The sequence below is a fragment of the Homo sapiens genome, chromosome 7 (genome assembly GCF_000001405.40).
Source record: "Homo sapiens chromosome 7, GRCh38.p14 Primary Assembly".
Classification (NCBI taxonomy): Eukaryota; Metazoa; Chordata; class Mammalia; order Primates; family Hominidae; genus Homo; species Homo sapiens.
In genome coordinates this window covers 63954376-63966422 of record NC_000007.14, presented here as the reverse complement: position 1 = coordinate 63966422, position 12047 = coordinate 63954376, and the positions used below count along the sequence as shown (strand labels likewise).

The 12047-nt window shown below is 38.7% G+C and overlaps 1 long non-coding RNA gene and 2 pseudogenes across 2 annotated transcripts in view; 2 read left to right on the top strand and 1 right to left on the bottom strand.

Annotated features, from left to right (window-relative positions):
- VN1R36P (vomeronasal 1 receptor 36 pseudogene) lies at positions 275-645 on the top strand (annotated as a pseudogene).
- VN1R35P (vomeronasal 1 receptor 35 pseudogene) lies at positions 2331-2992 on the top strand (annotated as a pseudogene).
- The window catches only part of LOC105375318 (uncharacterized), a 32262-nt gene continuing 28471 nt past the window's right edge, over positions 8257-12047 (bottom strand). The window contains exons 3-4 of one of the 2 annotated variants that reach the window (XR_007060342.1): positions 11075-11196; positions 8257-8421 (exon numbers count right to left, since the gene is read on the bottom strand). This is a non-coding gene — a long non-coding RNA (uncharacterized LOC105375318). The remainder of the gene's footprint in view (positions 8422-11074; positions 11197-12047) is intronic. The other variant, XR_001745236.1, reaches the window with a different exon arrangement.

Below are 12047 nucleotides of genomic sequence, written 5' to 3'. Positions count from 1 at the left end.
ACACAAAGTGTGGCAAATATAAAATTAGTTAGAATAGTTAAAACATTAATAACGGTAGGCCATAAATTGTGAGCACTATATGTAGAAGCACATCAGAATTTGGAAAGCTGTTAAAAGAAAATATATCTTAGAAATAAATATTTGAGAGGTAATGGGAAGTGATGGAGTTTGAATTTTTTAATGAAATGCTTATAAGATAACTTATGTTTTTATGCAGAATCTTTTATTTTTGAGTGTGTTTGTTAAATGTTGAACAAGAAGAAAAACCTCTGTGGATTTAAGATTTGGAAAGATTTTTCTTTTCCAGATTGATATTGGAGTCTTAGAGATTTTCTCACTTTTGTACTATATCCTTTTTATTTTTATGAGTGCAGTTTACAGTCCACAGGTATATTCTTTGTCACTTAACTACAGCAAATTCTTGATCATTCTCTTTAGAAAAGTCTCAGAAATCATGGCACCTTGAAAATGGAAACATTTCATTAGTAATTTTGGATGCAAACTGCTTTCCTGTGTTCACAGAATGGGCAGAGGTGGAACCGTTAACACCACTTCCCTCTTTAGTGACTTCCATGCCATCACCATCAGTGTGACTCAAGTAGGTTAGTGCAGCAGAAATTTCAGTGACACTTATAATAATAAAAAAAATAAATGGAGATCAGCCAAATGAAAACAAGAAATGACTATGTATTTTAGCTTTGCCCTAGGAGGGGAATTAGCCACCATCACTTATGTTTGGTGGAGACTCAAACCAGCAGAAGAGTGGGAAAGCTTTATAGTGAAAAAAGACATGACTTCAGATGGGCCTTTATTGGAGGCTGTTGACACGGGGAAGCTGTAGGAGGGCTAACCAGAAACAATATCCCATTTACTTGGTGAGGATGTATGCTTGGCTTTCTCAGTTTAGTTCTAATTTGGAAAAAGAGGCAACAGAACAGCTGTGACTTATTGATTTGAACTTGGCTGTTTGGGACTGGTTATTGTAGTTTGTATTCAGAGTTATCTTTTTCTATATAGACTGGCTGTTATCTCTTTGTATATTCATCTGTTCAAATAGAGAAGCCACCAGAAGGAATAAAATATTTAAAGGGATACATCTAAGAATGGGCTTCTATCCAGACAAAAGCTTCTCTTACTACTCATTAAAAAAAGATAAACTATTGAAAATGCAAAATGTGTTTCTGCAAAAAGATGCCATACAACTACAATACCATACAGCTTTACATCCACTGGAATGCTCTTACCAAACAATAGACGACAATAACGATAGCAAGGAGGGGCAGAATACAGACTCCCTGTACATTGCCCATAAAAACGTAAGCTAATGCAGTCACTTTGAGAAACGATTTGGTGGCTTTTCAGAGTGTCATATGTAGGATTATCATATGATCCAGCAGTTCTACTGCCAGAAATTTTCCCAGAATAATTGAAAACCCATGTCAACACAGACTCATATGAATGCTCATAACAGCAGTATTCATAGTAACCCAAAGTAGAAACAATGCAAATAACTACTAGCTAATCAAAGGGAAAAAGTATACCTGTAGAATAGAATACTATCTAGCTATCAAAAGTTTAGAATGGGCAACACCAGACCCAAGGCCACCTGACTGCATCTGCATTGACGGTGTGGTGTGCACCTCTGCATGCCCAGGTGCTATGCTTAGACTTCAGGCCAACGTGTGGGAGCCCACAGGAGCCCCTGAGAGCTGAGCTAGAGCAAAGGCATGGCCTGGTCTGCATGGCAGACCAGGCAGCCAGCTAGGCCAGGGGTGCAGCTGGGGTCATCACGAAACTATGCGCACCAATGAGCACAACAAACTTGAAGGGTCTAAGTGAACATTTAAATACAAATGACAGCTTTTAATTTGGGGGGCCACCAACTAAATTATGAGTTTGGGCCTCAGGTAATCACAAGAGTCCTGAAATGTGAAAGAGAGACTGAGAAACTGAATTCTGTGATATGAGAGAGTCAATCAGATTTTTTAGAAAGAATTTTTAAATTTTATATATATAATTTATATACACACAAACAATATATATATTCCCAGTATACACACAGATAGATAGATAGATAGATAGATAGATAGACAGATAGATAGATAGATAGATGATAGTAGATGGTGTATAAAATAATGATGAGACTGTATTTTTAAAAATTTATGTAATAGGATTTATCAAAAAAATTTAGTGAGATAAAAACATGATAGTGATGATTTTGAACATACAATAAATAATATGATATGAAGTCTGTTATTTTCAGATATTCAAAATATGTGTCTTTTTACAATTTAGATTATTACATTCCACTGCTTCCATTTTAAAAATGCCTCTTTTTTCAAGCTGGCATTGGGATCTCAACCAACAGTTTCCTCCTTCTATTCCATGTCTTCACACTTTTTCTAGATCAGAGGCCTAAGCCACTGACGTGACCTTCTGTCACCTGACCCTCATCCACATAGTGATGCTCCTGGCTGTGGTTTCACTGTTGTCTCCAGGTCTGTTTGAGTCACTGTAGTTTCAGAATGACTTCAAGTATAAAGTATCTTTTTCACCTGAATAAGGTGGGACCTTGAGCAATCTTCTGCATTTCAGTAAATACTGCTCGCTTTTCCCATGAAGTCCACCATCAGAGGTCAGAGGACTGTTTCTTATTCTGTCATTATCCAGATATGTTTTTCTTGCAGGACCGATGCTGCTTTCAAGTGCATACATGGTGGTTCTTTTGCTCAGCCATCAGAAGAAATCCTGGTACCTTCACAGCACCTGCCTCTCCCCAAGACCTTCCCCAGAGCAGAGTGCCACTCAGACCATCCTGCTGCTAGTGAGTTTCTTTGTGGTCGTGTACTCGGTCGATTTCATCATCTCATTCTCCTCAGCCTCACTATGGGCATATGACCCTGTTGTCCTGGGTGTCCAGAGGCTTGTGTGCACCGTATATGCCACTGTCAGTCCTTTGGTGTTCCTCAGATCTGATAAAAGAATAATCAATGTGGCCGGGTGCGGGGGCTCAAGCCTGTAATCCCAGCACTTTGGGAGGCTGACGCGGGCGGTTCACGCGAGGTCAGGAGATCGAAACCATCCTGGCTAACACAGTGAAACCCCGTCTCTACTAAAAATACAAAAAATTAGCCGGGCATGGTGGCGGGCGCCTGTAAGTCCCAGCTAGTCCGGAGGCTGAGGCAGGAGAATGGCGTGAACCCGGGAGGCGGAGCTTGCAGTGAGCCGAGATCGCGCCACTGCACTCCGGCCTGGGCGACAGAGCGAGACTCCCTCAAAAAAAAAAAAATAATAACCAATGTGATGCAAACTGTGAGACAGAAGTTTCAGTTTTCTTTTTATTGAAAACAGATTATTCTCTCACCAGTTAAGTTATTTAAGTAGCACAGAACCTGCTATCTAATTTAACTTAAATATATGGATTTACACTTTCAATATTTCTAAATATTTTTAAAACTGTGCCAATTGTTTGTGGTTTCTCTCGTTTAATATATATATAATCGTTTGATATTCCCATCTGTTTACAAGTGTCTTCCTCTTCCATTTTGATTTTCGGGCCTTAATATAGAAAAGTTTTTATTCTTTCTGAAGTGTTATATTAAGAATATCTTTCTGGGGCAACCCCCTTTGGGTCCCCTCCCTTTGTATGGGAGCTCTGTTTTCACTCTGTTTCACTCTATTAAATCTTGCACTGCGCTCTTCTGGTCCATGTTTGTTAACGGCTAGAGCTGAGCTTTCGCTGGCTGTCCACCACTGCTGTTTGCCACTGTCGCAGACCTGCCGCTGACTCCCATCCCGCCACTGACTCCCATCCCTCCAGATCCGGCAGGGTGTCCGCTGTGCTCCGGATCCAACGAGACTCCCATTGCCACTCCCGATCGTGCTGAAGGCTGCCATTGTTCCTGCAGGGCTAAGTGCCTGGGTTCGTCCTAATCGAGCTGAACACTAGTCACTGGGTTCCACTGTTCTCTTCTGTGACCCACAGCTTCTAATAGAGCTATAACACTGCATGGCTCAAGATTCCATTCCTTGGAATCCATGAGGCCAAGAATCCCAGGTCAGAGAACATAAGGCTTGCCACCATCTTGGAAGCCACCCGCCACCATCTTAGAAGTGGCTCACCACCATCTTGGGAGCGCTGTGAACAAGGACCCCCGGTAACATTTTGGCGACCACGAGGGGACCTCCAAAGTGATGCGGAGTCTCACTGTGTTGCGTAGACTGATCTCGAATTCCTGACCTCAAGTGATCTTCCTGCCTGGGCCTCAAAGTGCTGGGATTATAGGCATGGGCCACTGCGTTCAGCCTTTAAATTCTATTAAAAACAGCGTTTGTGAGAACGAAAATGTCTACTTCCTGAGAGAGACTGATAAGAATCTCCAAGGCATAATTTTCTCATAAAAGGATTCTCATTCAGTAGGCTTGGGCTCTGGCCTAATACACTCTCAGTGGAGTACCTGTGCTGCTCCTCACCTGGAAGCAAGAGGCCAGACACGGTGGCTCATGCCCATAATCCAGCACTTTAGGAGGCCAAAGTGAAAGGATTGCTTGAGCCCAGGAGTTCAAGATCAGCCTGGGCAACATAGAGAGACCCCAGCTCTACAAAAAATAATGAAAAGAAAAAAAATAGCCTGGTGTGGTGGTGCATACCTGTGGTCTCAGCTACTCAGGAGGCTGAGGTGGGAGGATCACTTGAGCCCAGGAGATCAAGGATGCAGTAAGCCGTGATCATGCCACTACACTCCAGCCTGAGCAACAGAATGGGACTCTGCCTCCAAAAGAATAAAAATAAAATAGAAAAAAAAAAAAAGAATATCTTTCTGGCAATAAAATCTCTCCATGTTGGTATTTTGGATAATTTTTTAGTAGGTATGTATGTATGTATTTGGAGACAGTCTTGCCCTGTCACCCAGCCTGGAGTGCAGTGGGGGTGATCTAGCTCACTGCAACCTCCAAGCTCCCAGGTTCAAGTGATCTTCCTGTCTCAGCCTCCTGAGTAGCTTAGACTACAGGTGCATGCTACCACACCTGGCTAATTTTTTTTGTTAGAGACAGGGTTTCTCCATGTTGCACAGGCTTGTCTCACTCCTGAGTTCAGGTGATCTGTCCACCTCAGCCTCCCAAAGTGCTGAGATTACAGGCTTGTCTTTATTTATTAAAAATATTTGGCTGAGTATTAAATTCTTACACTCAATATATATTTCTCTGTGTTCTGGCTTCTATCGAGACTGTAGAAATGATGCTCACAAATTTGTGGTTTACTTCTGTTTTCCATCTCCCTACTTGTCGGTTTTTTCTGTCCCTTTAATGTTACACAGTTTGACTATTATTTCTGCTGGAATTATTACCTTTATTTGCTTTTTTGTTGAAAACTTTGCATTTCTACATTCAATAATTTATTTCTGGCTTTTAATTTTCCAAAAAAATTTTTTTTGACTAAAACTGTGTTCTATTTTTGAAATATATTTTTGTAAAGCAATTGAGTATATTTTATTCCTTCTAGTTTTAGTCTTTATAGATCTGTAAATATATTTGCATTTTATATCAGTTTGTCTTTAATTACCATAGATTTGCTCTGCTTAATCTCCCAGTTAGCTGTTTCTCTCATTGGCTTGTTATAAGTTAATAGTTAACCCATACAATGTATATCCAAATTTATAAATTTTATTTTTCTTTCATTCAATTTACATTTGGCTCTTTCCACATACACTCTTCAACTTTTAAGTTTCTTCTTCAGCCAGGCGCTATGACTCACGCCTGTAATCCCAGCACTTTGGGAGGCTGAGGCGGTCAGAACACCTGAGGTCCGGAGTTTGAAACCAACCTGGCCAGCATGGTGAAATCCCATCTCTACTAAAAATACAAAAATTAGCCGGGCATGGTGGCACATGCCTGTAGTCCCAGCTACTCAGGAGGCTGAGGCAGGAGAATTGCTTGAACCCAGCATGCAGAGGTTGTAGTGAGCTGAGATTGCAGACACTGCACTCCAGCCTTGATGACAGAGGGAGACACTGTCTCAAAAATAAATAAATAAATAAATAAAGTGTTTTCCTCTTTCAATATTATTTTGGTTTCTTATTTTACCATTTAATTGATTTAAACATTTTAAATACAATTTTAATATTATAAATGTATGTAACATTCAATTTCTTCTTACTCTAGATTCTGAGAACTCGATAGACTGGATTAAGAAAATGTGGCACATATACACCATGGAATACTATGCAGCCACAAAAAAAGATGAGTTCATGTCCTTTGCAGGGACATGGATGAAGCTGGAAACCATCAAGCTCAGCAAACTATTACAAGGGCAGAAAACCAAACACCGCATGTTCTCACTCATAGGTGGGAATTGAACAATGAGATCACTTGGACACAGGGCAGGGAATATTACACACCAGGGCCTGTCACGGGGGGAGGGGCTGGGGGAGGGATAACATTAGGAGAAATACCTAATGTAAATGATAAGTTGATGGGTGCAGCAAACTAACATGGCACATATATACCTATGTATCAAACCTGCATGTTGTGCACATGTACCCTAGAACTTAAAGTATAATAAAAAAAAATTCTGAGAACTTATTTGCTTGTATATGTCATAATTTATCATTTAGATCTCACGTTTTGGAGATCTTTTTTTATAAATATATGCAGTCTGTATATTTTATTTGTTTGTTCTCCTTGACCTGGCACAAGATTATCAGTTTTGCTTTGTGATTAACCATTGGCTTCTCATGTTGACAACTCCTTTGAATCTTTTCTTATTTGTGTTCCTGCAAAGTCCTGACTTTTTTTAGCCCTATTTGGCATTGTAGGGATGCACAAACATTCACACTGCACACATAACAGTGTGATTACTTTACTTTATTAATATGTGAAAATATTAGTAGCTGCACATGGCTAAAATGAATGTTTCTGTCTTTAACAGTAAGTTAGTACTGGTAGAATTTGTTATGCAATATTTGGTGATTTGGTTCCAGTCTCAATGCTTCTTTCTTGGCATGTCATTGAATCTCTAAATTAACCTCAGTATGAATTTCCTTTGAAATTCAATAATTATTCAACTTGGTCTTAAACTTGTCTGTGGCTAGATATTGTCTATGGGTTGCACTCTAATTCACGGCTTCTGATGTCATTTCACAATGTCTAAACAATATGACCTATTGAATGTCTACTTTCATGAAGTTACTGACATAATTTTGAATCCAACATTTTAAAATTTTAAATATTTTCTATGGAATTTGAAAATAAGAAAATAATATGTATGCTCTTTATACAGGTTTATAATGCTATCCATTTGTTTATCTGATAACTAATCAAACTGACTTTTTTTTTTTTTTGAGATGGAGTTTCACTCTTGTTGCCCAGGCTGGAGTGCAATGGCATGATCTTGGCTTACCACAACCTCCATCTCTCAGGTTCAAGTGATTCTCCTGCTTCAGCCTCCTGAGTAGCTGGGATTACAGGCATGTGCCACCATACCTGGCTAATTTTGTATTTTTAGTAGAGACGGGGTTTCTCCATGTTGGTCAGGCTGGTCTCAAACTCCTGACCTCAGGTGATTCGCCAACCTCGGGCTCCCAAAGTGTTGGAATTACAGGTGTGAGCCACCGCGCCCAGCCCAAACTGTCTTAAAATGTTAATGTGCACTCTTTATGTTAACTTATTTGTTGTATATGAAAACAGTTTATTTTTATGACAGTTTAATGTCACCTAATATTATTTTTAATGTTTCAATTTCTCATTTACATGAATGTTTGTGTTGTTTATTTTAGTCTTACAGGCATTAAAACTGTATGTGCAAATGACTTGGAATAGTGCGTAACACATTGTGAACTCTATGTACGTGTTCAGTGCTGTTTCATCACATTTTAATCTGTTGTATGCTTCTCCACTTACCATCATTTTGTGTTTGTCCTTATTCAAATTATGTTTCTGTCCTGACTACATATTCATGGAAGAGAGAAGGTAGACTCAGACTTCCATCCTGATTAAACACAAAGTTAACTAACATATCTTCCTAGTTCACTTTAGATAGAATATCATATTTGTTTTACAATATAAATGTGAATATTAAGTACAGCATGAAGAATAAGCTTCTCCATCTTACAACAGAAGATCATGAGATATTCGATCATTCATGAATTACCCAAAGCTTTATTCTCTCAACATCATTTTTTTTATTCTTACATCTCAACCTCCAGGAAAATCTACAGGCATGAAATACTAGAAATTAGAAACAAGTTTGCAGATAAACACAAATTATCAAAATTAATCCAAGAAGAAAGGTAATATATTAATATACTTACAACAGGTAAAGAGGTTAATAAAATTCCTTCCCATAAAAAAGGTTCAGATAGCTTCACTGGTAAATTCTGCTAAATATTTAATGAATAATTAATAGGAATGCTACACAAACACCTGCAAAATATAAAAGGGGAAAGAAAACAATTCATTTGTTGAGGCCAGTATCACCCAGAAAACAAAACCAGATGAAAGCATCAAAGAAAAAAATGAGAAACCATTATTCCTCATAAATATAGACACAGAAATCTTTTTTTTTTCTTTTGGTGATGGAGTCTTGCTCTGTCGCCCAGGCTGGAGTATAGTGGTGCGATCTCGGCTCACTGCAACCTCCGCCTCCCAGGTTCAGGTGATTCTCCTGCCTCAGCCTCCTGAGTAGCTGAAATTACAGGCACAGACCACCACGCCCAGCTAATTTTTGTATTTTTTAGTAGAGACAGGGTTTCACCATGTTGGTCAGGCTGGTCTTGAACTCCTGACCTCGTGATCCACTGCCTTGGCCTCACAAACTGCTAGGATTACAGGCGTGAGCCACCGCACCCGGCCAGAAATCTTTAAAGACGCTAGAAAACTGAATTCAGCAACACATAAGAATGTTAGACAACATGACCAAGTGGAATTATCTCACCAATGCAAATTTATTTTAATATTCAAATATTAGTCAATGTAATATACCATATTAATAGAACAGAGGACAAAGCCATAATGATTTCAGTAGACACACAAAAGCATTTGACAAAATTCATTACTCGTTAACAATAATGCCTCCAGAAATCTAGGAATAGAAAAATCTTGCTTAACCTCTCCTACAGGGCATCTATAAAAATTTCACACATTCCAGTAAGGTATAATAGAGGACATACTTATATTCCTTACTTAATGGTTTTAAAAAATTAATAATACATAATAAAGATAATTTATTTACCTAGAAGAAAACACTTCTAAAAATGTTTCTATTGCATATGATAAAAGTGGAAACTAGGATCAAAAAGAGTAGTACTGTTGAGAATGAAAAGATTTGGTATTATTAATTTTCTTATTAGCAATAAAAATATTATTATCAACAATTTTAACAAGACACAGGTGCATTCTCCCCAGCAAAAGGCATGATCACATAAAATCCTTATGTAATACATAACAGAAAGTATTTTATATTTGAAACATATGGTAACATTGTCATAACTGCATTCTACTAAAAATGTCACACAATACACACTCCAAAAATTTAGAACTTTCCCTGGGGACATATGATTTTTCTAAAGATAATTGTGTTGATTATTCTGATAATCAATTCCTCCAAAGGTAAATGTGGCTATCTGGGATTCTGGAAATATTCTGAAAAGTTACATGTTTAAAAATAGTTCTCTTGAAAAAACACCATAACAGCTGGACAATGTAACATGTGCTTAACTGCAGAGATTAGTTCTAAATGCTAAAGTAAAAATAAGGAGACTGGGCATGGTGGCTCACGCCTGTAATCCCAGCACTTTGGGAGGCTGAGGTGGGCAGATTACTTGAGGTCAGGAGTTTGAAACCAGCCTGGCCAACATGGTAAAACCCCCTCTGTACTAAAAATACAAAAAAAAAAATTAGCTGGTCATGGTGGTGGGCGCCTGTAATCCCAGCTACTTGGGAGGCTGAGGCAGAAGAATCACTTAAACCTGGGAGGCAGAGGTTGCAGTGAGCCAAGATAGCACCAATGCACTCCAGCCTGGGTGACAGAGTGAGACTCCACCTCAAAAACATAAAATAAAATAAATGAAGAAGCACAAGCAGCAGAAAGAAGGGAGGATGAGACAGTACATCTGGCAGGGTGAGGCTTCCTACAATAGGTTGATAATAATAGGGGCATCATTTCCTGGATTTTTACAGCTCTCAGGGGTAGATGTGGTGCCACACTAGAATCAAAGTAAGGGGGATGAACCTGACCAGCCCAACTAAAGCCAAAAGCCTCAAAGTTCTGCAAATCTAAGAAAAATGAGATAGAGCATGCAGCCTGCAGTCAAAGGGAGATAAATAGTGAAACTAGTCAGTCCGTGCCTTGGCTGATGTAGGAAGGAAGGCCAGCTGTATTGATATATTGGGGTTTGAATTGACCCAGAGTTTTTGTAGAGAAAAATTTAATAAGTTAATTTAAATGTTTTCCAGATGCATGTAGAGAAGAAAACAAAAATTCCAGACAATTTTTTTTGAGGGAAAAAAATCTCAACCCAAGATACTGAAAATCTTTTAAGTTCAGACTTGTCAAGTATAATCACACAATGTAATTTTTTTAAATATGCAAACTAAAGGACACAAAAATTAATTTTGTTCAGAAATAACATCATAAAATACTTGTACAACTAGACGTCAAGGAATTCCAAAGCAGATGCGCCGAAAATATGTAAGCTAGGCATGGTGGCACGTGCCTGTAATCCCAGCACTTTGGGAGGCCAAGACGGGAGAATCACTTGAGGCCAGGAGTTTAAGGCTAGCCTGGTCAACATAGCATAACCTCATTTCTACAAAAATACAAAAAGAAAAAATATATACATAGTTTTTTTAGATAAATATAAGGGATATCAGCAAAGTAAAAAATATGAGCTAAAGTATAAGTAAAAGAATGAGCTAAAAAGGCCGGGTGCGGTGGCTCACGCCTGTAATCCCAGCACTTTGGGAGGCCGAGGCGGGCGGATCACGAGGTCAGGAGATCAAGGCCATCCTGGCTAACACGGTGAAACCCCATCTCTACTACAAATACAAAAACTTAGCCGGGCATGGTGGCACGTACCTGTAATCCCAGCTACTCGGGAAGCTGAAGCAGGAGAATTGCTTGAACCTGGGAGGCAGAGGTTGCAGTGAGCTGAGATCGCGCCACTGCACTCCAGCCTGGGCGACAGAACGAGACTCCATCTAAAAAAAAAAAAAAAAAAAAAAAAAAGAAAGATCTAAAAGAAATACTTAGATGCCAGGAAAAGGAGAAAAATGAGTGGAAAATATACAAGTTAGAGTAAGTTAAAAATGAAATAAGAGTGCTATGTCTAATGGTTTGTTGTTGTTGTTGTTGCATGGTTTTTGTTTTGTTTTGTTTCTGAGTTGGAGTCTCACTCTGTCACCCAGGCTGGAGTGCAGTGGCACAATCTCGGCTCATTGCAACCTCCACCTCCCGGGTTCAAGTGATTCTCCTGCCTCAGCCTCCCGAGTAGCTGGGACTACATGCCCGCCACCACACCCAGCTAATTTTTGTATTTTTAGTAGAGACGAGGTTTAACCATGTTGGCCAGGCTGGTCTTGAATTCCTGACATCAGGTGATCCACCCGCTTTGGCCTCCCAAAGTGCTGGGATTACAAATGTGAACCACCGCGCCTGGCCTTGTCTAATGATTTTTGAACAAAATAGAGAAAATATGGCATGCTTAAACATTTTAAAGAACTAATAAAATATCAACCAAGGAAAGTACAACAAATATCTAAAAACATCATAATAACTAAAAAGCTTAACACCAAAATGAAGTGATTTAGAATCATTGAAATATAAAATGCTAACTACAAAGCAACAACAGATTTTTAACTCATATTTTGACATCTTCATAGAATTCACAAATCAATGGATATTATGTTTAAAGTTCTGAGTTAAAATATCTGTCAATTTTGAATTGCATAACTAGTTAAAATTTTTTTAAGATAGAAGATAAAATGTAAAATAATTCATATAATATAAACTAAATTTACTTCAATTATTTACTTCTTTAATACGCTTATTA